We start from the raw sequence: 14,227 nt of genomic DNA on the forward strand, positions 1-14,227 counted from the left end.
GCAGCCCATCCTTGTTACCTGGGCCAAGAGGTAAGATCATTGCAGCAGATGATGTCAACTAGGTTTAACCTTGGAAAAATTTGAAGTCATTTTTAGTATAAGAAAAGCCTTACCCTAAGTTAGAGTTCTCACTCATGATCCCTGGCATTCACTAGGGTACTGATACTCTCTTCCTTTTAAAGAGGTTTTCAATGACTCTTGTTCAATTATAAAAACTAGGCCTGGCCAGGCGCGGTGGCTCATGCCTGTAATCCCAGCACTTTGGGAAGCCGAGGCAGGCAGATCATGAGGTAAGGAGTTCGATATCAGTCTGGCCAATATGGTGAAACCCCGTCTTTAGTAATAACACAAAAATTAGCCAGGCATGGTGGCACGTGCCTGTACTCCCAGCTACTCAGGAGGCTGAGGCAGGAGAATCGCTTGAACACAGGAGGTGGAGGTTGCAGTGAACCAAGATCGCACCACTGCACTCCAGCCTCACTCCAGAGTGAGACTCTGTCTCAGAAAAAAACAACCAACCAACCAAACAAGAAATAAAAACAAACAAACAAAAAACAACAACAAAAAAAACTAGGCCTAACCTGATAAAGGGTAGTGATTGGTTTGGCAAACTTGTCCAGGGAAAATTCCTTAATGAGCAGCAACAGGCTGGATAGGAATTTTTGCTTTGGCCCAGGAGGACTGGTGGGTTGCTTAGTAACAACAACATGTACCTGGGAGTCCCTCAGATAGCTTCACTGGTCTTCAAATTTAGGCCTCCAAATTTCAGATTCACCCTACCATCTACCTGCCTGCATAGTTTCTTCCTTTGGATTAATTCAGGCTCTTCAGATCAGTTTTGTTTATTTTTCCATTACCAGGAGAGCACATTTTATGTTGTAAGTTTCTTATAATGGTAAATGGTAAACTGTATTATAATAGGTAATAACAAAAGTGTATATATATATTTTTTTGAGTTGGAGTTTTGCTCTTGTTGCCCAGGCTGGAGTACAATGGCACGATCTCGGCTCACTGCAACCTCCGCCTCCTAGGTTCAAGCAGTTCTCCTACCTCAGCCTCCTGAGTAGCTGGGACTATAGGTGTGCGCCACTATGCCCGGCTAATTTTTTGGTATTTTTAGTAGAGACGGAGTTTCGCCATTTTGGCCAGTCTTGTCTCGAACTCCTGACCTCAGGTGATCCATTCACCTTGGCCTCCCAAAGTGCTAGGATTACAGGCATGAACCACCACGCCCGACCGAAAGTGTGTTTTATGCTGTAAGTTTCTTACTGGAAATGGTAAAAAAAAAAAAAAGTACTGGATTATAATGGGTTAAGTGGGATAGAAATAAGAAAGCATTCCTTTGGGGATCTCTACCTCCCATCCCCAATTATACTGGGAAGAGAGAAGTGTTTCAGCTTCATGAGTTTTGGTGAGCAGTAGTAATATTATTTGTAAAAAGAGCACCTTTTGATTTGCCACATACAATACTAATCAAATAACACATTTTAAGAATTCTTATAGGAAGTGCTAGAAAAGCTGGTGCATTTCAGGAGATTTCAATGTATATTTTGAAAATAAGTCAGGGTTCTGGAGGTTGTTCATGCATTTGAATGGGCATTCAGTGGAAAGCAATCAATGCCTGTGGTAGATGAAGTACCTTATTTTACTTTGTAATGAACATGGCAATGAACTTTGTGGGGAGCACTTCACTTTCACTCCCAAGGAAATGCTTCCTTTACAAGTGTGAATGCAGATACCCTCCGGAACAGAAACGGAAAGCAAGAATTGCTTGTGGCTTCTCTTTATTTTGGCGCCAGCCTTTCATCTGAACTCTGAATATACAAATATAACTAACCCTGAGAGCCAGAGTCCCTTCTTTTTTAAGGCCCATGAATTTAGATCAGGGTTTTAGGAGACAAGGAAAGGCTGAAGTGAAGGAGAGAGGAGTGGAGAAAGGAGAGGACAGAAGGGAGCAGGAAGAAACTGCTTAACTACTGTTAAGTTGCCAGTGTTTTCTCAGTGGAGTGTGAGCGGCCAGCAGGGGCTGCTGCCGGGGCCTAGGGTGCGACAGCATGTGGCTGTTTGGCCTCCTAGATAATTGGTTTTGGTTTTAATTTGCAATCTAGAATCCTAGAGCTAGAAAGAGCCTTAGGGATCATCCAAATGCATCGTAGGGCATGTGAGTGAGCAAGTATAGGATTTTGATCTAAAAGCCTGGATTGAGAAGAAATGTAAGAAGAAATCTTACATTTTTTCTTCTGTGTTTCATTTTGGGATTCTAAGTATAAATTGAAAATTTGGAGTTTTGATTAGTTTGAAAAAACATGCTTTTTTTTTTTAAGAAAGATTGAGAGCAAGATTAGCACTGCATGTTTACTTCTTAAACCATGAACGTGAGTCTGTGAAATACCTGGTTAAGATTCTGATACCATTACTGGGGAGTTAAAATTGACTTTTCTTCCCACACTCACCCCAAATCATTGTTTTTTGGTTCTCAGTTCAGTGAGTCCCATAAAATAACTGCCTTCTGTACTTCTTGGATCTAACTTTTCAAAGAAACAAGGAACAAAGGTAGCTTTTGCCTCTTTCCTGCATTGCCAATAAGATAATTAACATAAGATCAGAAGATTCTTCTTTCATTATTTTTCATCTGTAAAATGGAATTGAACTAAATGATCTCCGTGAATAATTACCTGCTCCTATATTCTGTGTCTCATTTTCTCCCTCCAGAGGGGTCTGGGCTGGTGGTGGCTCACAGCAGGGGCCATGAACATTAGCAAGACAGGAGGTTACAGGCACAGTGGGACCTGCTTCTGCTCCCAAGCCCCCTCACCTCCTTCACCAAAATCAACGGTGGTCTGATTCAGATGGCAGACTTTTGGAAGGCAGGAGGAATTCAGAGGATCACATGGAATTCAGAAGGGCAGCAAGGCAGTGAAATCAATGGTTTAACTAGCGGACTCCCGCACAGCCTTGCTGGGATGGTAGAAAAGTGGTACAAGAAAATCAGATAAAATGGGCTGGCAGGGACGCTGAGAACTTCTTCCCAGAGACAGCCCAGGAAGTGTTCATTCTGGCAGGCTCATGGAGTGAGAGTGAGGCAATATAAGAATGAATGGAACATTGACTAAAATTTAGTAAGCTGAAAACCTTAAGTAGGTGAAAGGGATGACCTCCTCCTCCTCCTCCTCCTCCTCTTCCTCCTATTCTTTCTCCTCTTCCTCCTCTTCCTTTTCCTCATCCTCTTTCTTCTCCTTCTCTTCTTCTCTGTCCCCTTCTCCTTCTTTTTTTTCTTTCTCCCCCTTCTCCCTTTCCCTATTACTCCTTTTAATAAAATGTAATTCACAGACACCCACTGTCAAAAAATATTGCCAAGTGAATAGTTTAGTAAATGTTCAGAAGAGATTTCAAATAATATAAGGATAAGAATAGCAGCCGCAGTTTCACTTCAAGGATAAGGTAATATATTATTTCACTTCAGGGCACACAATGATCATTTATTTAGGTCGGGAATAAAATCTCCTCTGGTATCCTACTGTGTTATAGAATTTAAAAGTCTCTGAAGTCGACTTTTTCTGAAGTCAATTGCCCCTGAAAGGTTCTCATGTTGGAGGGAATTTTGATTAGGTCACAGGACATTTATGTTTCCTCTGCAAACTAGGATTTTTAAGTTGCTCTGGAGTCCTGGTGTATACTTTTAAGAATATGTGTATCTTACATATTTTGGAAAATAATTTTAAAAAGAACAAATACCTCAATAGAAAGGTGGTCAAAGAGCATGAGTAGACAATTAGTAAAAGCTGTATAAGTGGCTAATAAAGACAGAAAATAATATTAGCTGTAAGCTGTATTAGTGATAAGAAAATACAGATGATATAACAGAGATATTCTAAGTTTCTCTGTCAAAGTGGCTAAAATTAACAAAACCGGGTTCGGGTAAAATATATTTTTGGAGTATTATAATTTATCATAAACTTTCTGGAAGGCAGTTTGGCAAAACTGGTTGAAATGGGTCTACCCATTGATAACTAAATTCCAGTTTCAGGGATTTGTCTTAAAGACATAACTAAAGATATAAAGTGCCACATGATTTTTAAAAGTGAAAAATCAGTATAACCCTAAAAGCCTGGCTATCAAGGGTTGGTTTAGTAAATCATGGTTTAGTGAGATGATGGGACACTATGCAAGCATTACACATCACATTAATGAAAAAATCCTTAATGATAAGAGAAAGTGTTCATGATGTATTATATCAGAATGTTTATAGGCATAAAAAGATGAAGAATAAAGAATTCAGAAAAAACACAAAAAGTTAACAGTGGTTTTCTCTCTTAAGTATAAAATAAAGGTACTTTTTTGTCTGTTAGTGTTTCTCTGTGTTTTCCTATTGTGCTGATGTGAGCTTGCACTGCTTTTGTAATTAAGGATAAATTTTATTTATGCATTTATGTATTTATGTATGTATGTATTTAAAAAAATTAAAGGTTGTATATAAAAATAGTTATTAAGTGGAGACACTTAAGAATAATACACACTTCTCTAAATAAAACGGAAAAGCCTACTTGCTGCTTGCTTGTTGCAGGTAGAATTGACCCGATCCCCTGCAGAAATCCCTGCCCTCTCCTCTCTGTCCCAGGAATGCCACGCTGCCCTTCACGCTGGCATGCTGCCTGTCGGTTCTGTGCTATTCCTTAGTGACCTGTAGATTCATTATCTGTGTCTCCACAACCTTGTCCTTTTAGATTTGCATATGTGTTAAGTCCAATCATTAAATCCAGTGATTTTTCAAAATAGCAAAAGTAGGTGTATAAGTTTCCAACATGTGTATAATTTGAAGCTGAGGAATGACTAAGAATGAAAGAAACTCAGTTTGTTCCACTCAGTGGGCTGCATGTGCCTATGGAGTTTCACTTGAAGCAAACTCTCTCGAGGCAAACCTGCTGGCCTCACCACCTCAGACCCCGCCTGAATGTTCATGGGAGAGACTTGGTGTTGGGTCCAGTTTTGAGCTTTTTTGAAGGGACAGGGAGAGCCTGGAATATGACTTCCTTTAAAAACAAAAGGTAGTTGTAGGCAAGGTCGGGTTTTTTTTTTGTATTTTCTAGAATAAAAATTTATATTTTTTTTAGAGTATAGACTTGCTTCTCCCTGGAGGGCCACACAGTGACTCATCTGACTGCTTCTGCAAGCTGGTGCATAGATCATGCCAGACCAGCTTGGGTCTGCTAGTTAAGCTGCAGGAGATTGCATCATAGGATTTACTGCACGCGTCTTTAATGGAAGTGTTGTCGCCAACGTGAACTTCTTTGCTTATCAACCTATCCAAGAAGCATCCACAGCAGGGAACAAAAAGTACCTGATGGGAACTTGCTGGGGAAACTGGCCTCCCAGAGTCACTGAAGTTGCCAACATTGCATTAGGAAAAAAAAAAAAAAAAGAGGAGGCTAAAAATACAACAACAAAAAAAAGGTGGAAATGAACTTTTGTAAAATGTGAGCAAAACCAAAGCAATCTTCGGCTGCGGAATAAACACAGAGGTGGTGAAACAGGAACTAGTAGGTATACATTTTGGCCGTGTGCTCAAAAGTGAATTTGCAATTGCCCCTTCTCTCCCACTCCCAACTGGCCCTCCCCTCCCCCATCCTTTTCTTCATATTGTATAGAAATTCTTCAAACCTCAAATACTATATCTAATATTTTTAAAAAATCATGATGTTCTTCGGATGTTAAAAGTCTAAATGGGCCGGGCGTGGTGGCTCATGCCTATAATCCCAGCACTTAGGGAGGCCGAGGCGGGTGGATCACCTTAGGTCGGGAGTTTGAGACCAGCCTGACCAACATGAAGAAACCCCATCTCTATTAAAAATACAAAATTAGCCGGATGTGGTGGTCCATGCCTGTAATCCCAGCTACTCGGGAGGCTGAGTCAGGAGAATCTCTTGAACCTGGGACGCGGAGGTTGCAGTGAGCCGAGATTGCACCACTGTACTCCAGCCTGGGCAACAAGGGTGAAACTCTGTCTCAAAAAAAAAAAAAAAAAAAACAGTGTAAATAAAGGCACCTATCCTTACGGGGCTTGTGGGAGGGTTGAGGGAAGGACTACAGTCTCCTTTTATCTTGTGTTTATCTTTAGTTTTAGCAAACATTCTATAAGGTATGTTTTGTATCATATTCAGCCACATGAAAAACACAAATTTGCATTTCGATTTTGTTCACAAAATTTGGGACACAAGTCGTTTATCACTTTTAACATCCTGAAGTTGAACTGGTGCAGCAGTAGTATCGTTATGCTTGTTAGCCTTCATAATCCTTCCTAAGCAATAAAATACCCATGTGGTCGAATCCCAGGACACGTTGAATTACAAGCTCCAAGTTTTTCCGCTGCAGCGTATCCAAGTGTGCTTGGAAAGAAGAACAAAATTAAACATGCTATTTAGAGCTTTCAGGGCTAACTAGATTTTGATGTTGTCATTGTAGCAAATAGTTCTAGAGTGTGGAAGAAGTTGAAAATGTTTTTATGATACAGAGATTTTTATTGTACTGCATATTTAATGAATTATTTTATAAATTGCTGTTGTGAAGCATTTGTGAATGACCTGCCTCCTAGCTTTCAATGCTATTGCCCAGGCTGACTTTTATTGCAACTGTTTTATGATACAGTTTTGCATTGTATGTGTTTACTTTTTAAAGAAGCATTTCCTGGGAGGTTTCTTTTTCTGGTTATGAAAATAATATATGCTTATGGGGAAAAATTGGAAAATAGAAACAAGTATCTAGAAGAAAAATCACTCATAATTCCAGCACCCTGTTAATACTTTGTCTTTTCTTACAGTTTCTAATATGTGCATGCATAGTATATCAATGTGGTTTTACAAAGAGTGTGCAAATTATGATTCTCTTTTTTACATCATTCATGCCATTCTGCATTTTCCACTTAATACTATACTATTGGTACTTTACCAATCCCTTAAGTATTCTCGTACATAGCATTTAAAGGTGAAATCTACCACCTCCTATTTTTAATATTTATGTTGTTTTGACTTTTCAGTATAATAAATCATGTTTATATGTAAAGGTTTTTATCTCCGGTTATTACTGTAGAATAGATTTCTGGAAGTATAAGAACAGGAGACATAAATATTTTTAGGTCATTGATACATAATTTGAAAATGACTCCTAGAAAGATTTTAACAATTTGTGTTCTACCAACAGTGTTTGAGGGTGTCTTTTTCTCATTGTCTCACCAGTAAATGACAATTGTAATTTGTTTATTTGCAAGGCAAAAAAAAAAAAATTGCAATTTGATAGTTAAAGAGATTAAACATTTTCTCAGATTTTTATTTTGTAATTTGTATTTCTTTTTAGTGAAGCTCTTGCTTTTACCCTGGCTACTACCTATGATTGTGTTATGTTCTGGAGGAGAGGGAACTTGGCTGAGGGGGACTTTGGGGCTGAGATCCAGCTGTGCTCCCCTCTGGCGTCTACCCAAAGTTGTACCTTCCAACATTTGTACAGTTGCACCCTATGGGCTAACAGAGGCCTGTTCTTATTTTTCATTTATTCAAAAATAAATTGAGATACTCATATTTTTATCATTGACTTGTGAGAGCTCTTTTTGCACCTAAAACTATTAACCCTTTTGTTAAAATCCTGGCTATCATTTCAACTTGTTACTTTAATTTCAAGATTTAAAAATGTTCAGAGGTTTAAATTTTTAAATGTCAAATATTTTGGTCTTATGTATGTGTGAGTACTTTCATTCCTTTCACATATGGAAAGCTTGAGATTAATCTATGGATTTTACTCATTAAATTTTTTTCTTTCATTTTACCCTTTTTTTAGTGTTATTTAAAATATTCTATAAGAGGTAGTTAATTTATACTTAAATGTAAAAGTATCAGAAAATAACACTTTTCTACCACTCAGAGATGTTAATACTGTTAACAATTTGAAATCTATATTTTTACTCCCTTTTCTGTGCATGTATATACAATTACACTATGTATGAAAAGATAAGATAGTGATTTATATACTGTTTAGTAACATTTTTTAAATTGATACTTATTACAGATAGCTTTCCATGACAATAAATATTTTTAATGGCCCAATAGTTTTACACTGGGTAAAAATATCCAAATTAACCATTTCTCCTTTGTTGTATATTTAGATTTTTCCCTGTTTTTTACTACTAAGGTCAATACTTGAATGATTATCCCTTTTTTTTTTTTTTTTTTTTTTTTTAGACAAGAGTCTTACTCTGTCACTCAGGCTGGAGTGCAGTGGTGCAGTCTCAGCTCACTGCAACCTCCGTCTCCCGGGTTCAAGCAATTTTCGTGCCTTAGCCTCTTGAATCTCTTAGCTGAGATTACAGATGTGTGCCACCATGCCCAGCTAATTTTTGTATTTTCAGCAGGAATATTGGGGTTTTGCTATGTTGGCCAGGCTGGTCTCGAACTCCTGGTCTCAAGAGATCCACCCGCCTTGAACTCCCAAAGTGCTTGGATTACAGGCGTGAGCCACCGTGCTTGGCCTTGAATGATTATCCTTATCACTAAATTTTGCACACTTCTTAGTTATTTCTTTGAAATACATTCCAATGAATAGAAATTCCTAATCAAAAGGTACGCACTTTTTGAAGACATTTGGTTCATATTTCCAAATTGCCATCCATATATTTTCTCCTAATTAACACTCCCACCAATGGTGTATCTGAGAGTAGAATTCCACATTCCGTCTCTAACAATGCATATTATAATCCTCTCTTTAGTCTTTGCCAATTTGGTAGATTAAAAATGGTACTTGTTCTGAATTGCATTTCTTTCCATTTACTCAGGTTTTTTTTTTTTTTTCATCACGGGAGAGCTTTATCTTTGTTTGCTTTAAATATATAGAGAGTATTTTGAGATCTTGAAAGTGCTTAGGGTTTTGTACAGAGTTCAGCTGTAGAGCATTTATAGTCAGTAAAAAAGAGTTTGTTAGCAGAGTGTGGAGCCATGATCTCTTCTCTCAGTACGTCATTGGGTCTGAGAACAATCCCCAATTCACAGCCCTCATTCCTTTGCCAATGAAAGCAGTGACTCAGATCAGCATTTAAAGTCCCCTGATCAATGACCACAAATTCAAGGTACCTAGTCAAGGGTGAGTTCGGGATGAGTTCAGGATGAATACATCCAAACGACAACAAATGAGTGGCCACCACATAAGCCTATTTGACTATATGATTTATAGAGTGCCTATAGCCAGACACAAAGCTGGGCACCAAGCTAAATGCAGAGACCCCAAAGATGAGACAGTTAGGTCAAGGTTTAAGATTGTAATTAGAAAAAACATAATTTAGGAAAAAAAAGCAATTGCACATTTACCTTCCATTCTTCAGATAATTAGTTGTGGGAAATGTGGAGGCAGGTCCAGAATGAGGCAAGACAGTGTGAGTCTTCAAATTTTGTACTTTTATTTCGATTTCAAAGGTCTGCCACTATTTTTCATTTCTCAGGCTTGGTCAGGCTTTCATCCCTTCCCTGTTTGTTTGTTTTCCTTTCTTTCTTTCTTTCTCTCCTTCCTTCCTTCCTTCCTTCCTTCCTTCCTTCCTTCCTTCCTTCCTTCCTTTCTTTCTTTCTTTTTCTTTCTTTCTTTTCTCTCTTTCTTTCTTTCTTCTTGTGTGTGTGTGTGTGTGTGTGTGTGTGTGTGTGTGTTTTGGCCTATTAGTGGTTAAGAAACACTTTGGTTGTTTATCTAAATAGTAGGGCTATTTAAAATGAAGTCACTTTTCAAAGATAAGGCTCCAGGGCCCTGCAATTAAACTTCATATTAAAAACCTTTCCTAGAGCTGCGGGTTAAAACATCTGTCACATGCATGTTGCTTATAATGTTAAACATAACATCTGTGGAAAATGGCAATTTATGGAAGTAATTTGGTACTTTTCTAAACTGAGATACAACATTAAAACATGTAGGGCAATTAAGAATTTGTCTTAAAAGTGTTGATGGCATTAGAGCCAGCTGCTTTAATCAGGAGCTCATTATCTGGTTTGTGAATTATTGAGGCTATTTTCTTCAATTTTCCTCTTATGGTTAGCCTTTTAGATATATATATATTTTTTCCTCTACAAATCTTGCAGAGAGGGCATGAACAGAAAAATTCAGCTTAATTAGTTTGGCTACTGATTAAGGGGAAAACATACTTAATTCTAGTAGAAGGTTAAACTTACTATTTTAAATACATTCTTAGATTATCTAGGATTTCATGTGATCCAAGCTATATCTTCTCCTACTTTTTTTTACAAAATGTTCTTGAAGCTGTAAATATAAGAATTGCTTGATTAGGAAGTCAACCACTTGCAAGCAACAAATAATGGTTCTCCTCCATAAAACCTATAAAGCACTTAAGTAAATGAAGGGTAATCTTTAAGTAATTGGTTGTATTGCATATTTTTATTTATTTATTTATTTATTTTGAGACAGGGTCTTACTCTGTTGCCTAGAGCAGAGTGCAGTGGTGTGATTTCGGCTCACTGCAGCCTTGACCTCCCAGGCCCAGATGATCTTCCCACCTCAACCTCTTGAGTAGCTGTAGCTGGAACTACAGGCTCACACCACCATGCCCAGCTGAATTTTGTATTTTTTGTAGAGATGGTGTTTCACCATGTTGCCCAGGCTGGTCTCGAACTCCTGGGCTCGAGTGATCAGCCCACCTCTGCCACCCAAAGTGGTGGGATTACAGGCATGAGCCACTGCAACTAGCCATATTTTTAATTTTTTGCAAACTAACTCTATAAGTATTTGTCCATGAGTTTTATGACTTTTTCAGTAAATATTTTAATGTCAGCAGAGCATTATATACAGTGGATTTATCATCATTGACTTACATTTAGGTTACATGTAGGTTGTTGCTAGAGTTTTCACTATTATAAAGTCATAATTCTATACAAATCCTTAGGCATAAAATCTTTCAAGATTTTTATATTCCTGAATTAAGGGCCAGTGAGCGAACAAAAAAGATTTTTTGATCATTTCCTAGAATGAATTTCTACAAGTAGAATTTCCTAGCTTAAAATTTACAAATATTAAAAAATATATGTTATTACACAATAACTATCAATTTAGTGAGAAAAAAGATAAACTTCCCTTTTATATTTCTCTCCTACCACTTTCAATAGAACTTTAACAATTTTTGTGGATATTCTTCCAGATGTTTTTCTAGGCATTGTACCACATATAAGTGCGCATGCATTTGAGAGTTTTAAAATTTTTCACTTGTCGGCCGGGCGTGGTGGCTCATACCTGTAATCCCAGTACTTTGGGAGGCTGAGGCAGGTGGATTACTTGAGGCCAGGAGTTTGAGGCCAGCCTGCCTGGCCAACATGGCGAAACCCCGTCTCTACTAAAAATACAAAAAAATTAGCCAGGCATGGTGGTGCATGCCTGTAATCCCAGCCACTCAGGAGGCTGAGGCAAGAGAATCGCTTGAACCTGGGAGGTGGAGGTTGCAGTGAGTGGAGATCGTGCCACTGCACTCCGGCCTGGGCAACAGAACAAGACTCCGTCTCAAAAAAAAAAAATTTTTTTTCACTTGCCTTATTATTTACAAAAATAATTTTATACATGTTGTTTTATGATTTTGATAGTTCCATATCAATAATACAGTCACTTCATTTTTTGGGTTGCATGATATTTCACATGAAGAATATACAAGTGACTAAAGGACAAATTCATAGAAGCGGAACCTTTGGGGCAAAGGCTAAGCATATTGAAGCCTTTGATAGATTGCTCTCCAAAAATGCTACTTGAATTTATAATCCAATCAATAATGGTCAAATATGCTTATTGCTGCCTACCATCCCAGCAGTGCATCTTATCAGTCTTTTTCAACCTCCATCTCCTGGGTTCAAGTGATTCCTCAAGCGACGCCTCAGGCTCTCGAGTAGCTGGGACTACAGGCGTGTGCCACCACACCTGGCTAATTTTTGTATTTTTAATAGAGATGGGGTTTTGCCATGTTGGCCAAGCTGGTCTTGAACTCCTGACCTGGGGATCTGCCCGTTGCCTTGGCCTTCCAAAGTACTGGGATTATAGGCATGAGCCACTGTGCCCGGCCTCATCTTGTTTTTAGTTTTTTTTTTTTTAAATATCTTCTAGGTTTTATGCCTTGCTTAAGAAGGCTTTCTCTGCTCTAAAATTAAATACAGACAACTTTTCCCCCAAGCAAATTTCTCCTAAATTTTATTCTATCATTCTATTTATTTTATTCTTTTGTGGTTTCACATTTCCACTAAAAGCTTTGATCCACCTGAAATTTATTCAATGAAGAAATGAGGTGAGGTCTTTACATAATTGTTTTTCTAGATGGCCAAACTATTCTGCCAATGCCATTTATTAAGCAATACATAATATTTCCCTCACTTGTCTGAAATCCAGCCTTTATTATAGATTAAATTCCTTTGTGTATTTAAGACTATTTTTTAACTCTTCAGTGTGTTACATTGATCTATTTATGCCTATGAAGCAACTATTTATTTAAGTTTATACAATGTTTTAATATCTGGAAATGTTGTGCCATCTAATTAGTCTACTTTAAAAAAATCTCTCTGGTTATTTTGCCTTTTTTTTTTAATGCAAACTGGAATCAGCTTCTGTAGTTCTTAAGAAAACCTGATTTGAGAGTGAGGAGAAGGGAAGGGATTCATTAAACTTTATGAATAACTTTAGTATAGAGTTGATATCTTATTCACATCATGCATTCCTATAAAAACAAATACGTTTTGCTCTATTTATTTAAATCATCTTTGATGTTCCTCAGTATCATTAAACATTTTCTTCATTAGAACTTGCACTTTTATTATATTTACTTTTAAAAGTTTATCCAAAAATATGTTATCTTTTTGGTACTATTTTAAGAAGTATCTTTGCTTATTAAATATGTTTTATTTTATTTACATTTTGAGACACAGTGTCACTCTGTCACCCAGGCCCGAGTGCGGTGGCATGATCTCAGCTCACTGCAACCTCCGCCTCCCGGGTTCAAGCAATTCTCCGGCCTCAGCCACCCGAGTAGCTGGGATTACAGGTGTGCACCACGATGCCTGACTAATTTTTGTATTTTTAGTAGAGACGGGGTTTCACCATGTTGGCCAGGCTGTGTTTTGATTTCTTAAATCTTTCTCTTTTATTACGCTGGTCGGGATTGGCAGAGGATGCTTTCAGTATTTCACTGTTGAGCATAATGGTGCCGTTGGTTTCTTGGCTATTGTCTTAGTGCAATCAGACTGCTATAGCAAAGTACTGGGTGGCTTATAAACAACAGAAACTGATGTCTCACCGTTTCGTAGGCTAAAGGTCTGAGATCCGGGTGCCAGCACAGAGGGGCTCTGGTGAAGTCCTTCTTCTTAGCTGGCTAGTTTCCTGGCCTCTCCACCTCTAAATGCCATCACATTAGGGATAGTATTTCAACATATGAATTTTAGGGGTGTACAAACATTCAGTTTATTGCAGCTGTTAATAATTTTTATATTTTTTTCCCCTTGTTTTCTTAATATAGTGATATCAATCAATAAATTTCCTAATTTTTTTTGAGTAGTTTTGCATTCCTGGGATAAGCCTTACAGGGTCATGTTGTTGTTGTAGTAGTTGTTTAAATAATAGGTTCAGTTCATCAATATTTTTCTGAGGATTTTATGTCTGTATTCATCACGATCCCACTACTTACTGGGGTTGTGGCCTTGGGTAAATTACTTAATTTCTCTTAGTTTCTCATCTATAAGAAGGGAATAATAGTGAGAGATCTTGCCTCCCAGCATTATGGTGAGGTATATAACCCTTAGAACAGTCTGTGAGACATGGTAAACACTCAGTAAATGTTCTCATTGTTGTTATTGTAACTGACACGGGTCTCCTCTTTCCTGGGTGTGTGTATGTGTCTCTGTGTATGTGGGTGCAGGCTATCGTTGTGCTTTTTTTTTTGGAGATGGAGTTTTGCTCTTGTCACCTAGGCTGGAGTGCATTGGCTCGATCTCAGCTCACTGCAACCTCCACCTCCTGGGTTCAAATGATTCTCCTGTCTCAGCCTCCCTAGTAGCTGGGATTACAGGTGCCCGCCAACACACCCGGCTAATTTTTGTATTTTTAGTAAAGACAGGGGTTTCACCATGTTGGCCAGGCTGGTCTCAAACTCCTGACCTCAGGTGATCTTCCCACCTTGGCCTCCCAAAGTTCTGGGATTACACACGTGAGCTATCGCGCCTGGCCATTG

At 38.2% G+C, this 14,227-nt stretch overlaps 1 protein-coding gene across 4 annotated transcripts in view, besides 2 other annotated features; it reads left to right on the forward strand.

Annotated features, from left to right (window-relative positions):
* Positions 1-14,227, forward strand: part of GRHL2 (grainyhead like transcription factor 2) — a 188,762-nt gene that overhangs the window by 7,134 nt on the left and 167,401 nt on the right. The window lies entirely within an intron of this gene.
* Positions 1,394-2,370: an enhancer, noted in NCBI's record as "OCT4-NANOG-H3K27ac-H3K4me1 hESC enhancer chr8:102513194-102514170 (GRCh37/hg19 assembly coordinates)". NCBI's record gives its function as "activates a minimal SCP1, AML or CMV promoter by ChIP-STARR-seq in naive H9 embryonic stem cells {active_cell/tissue: H9 hESC(naive)}" and the evidence as "EXISTENCE:reporter gene assay evidence [ECO:0000049][PMID:30033119]".
* Positions 1,686-1,855: an enhancer, noted in NCBI's record as "active region_27729". NCBI's record gives its function as "activates an Ori minimal core promoter by ATAC-STARR-seq in GM12878 lymphoblastoid cells {active_cell/tissue: GM12878}" and the evidence as "EXISTENCE:reporter gene assay evidence [ECO:0000049][PMID:35858748]".

This window comes from Homo sapiens, chromosome 8 (assembly GCF_000001405.40).
Source record: "Homo sapiens chromosome 8, GRCh38.p14 Primary Assembly".
Classification (NCBI taxonomy): Eukaryota; Metazoa; Chordata; class Mammalia; order Primates; family Hominidae; genus Homo; species Homo sapiens.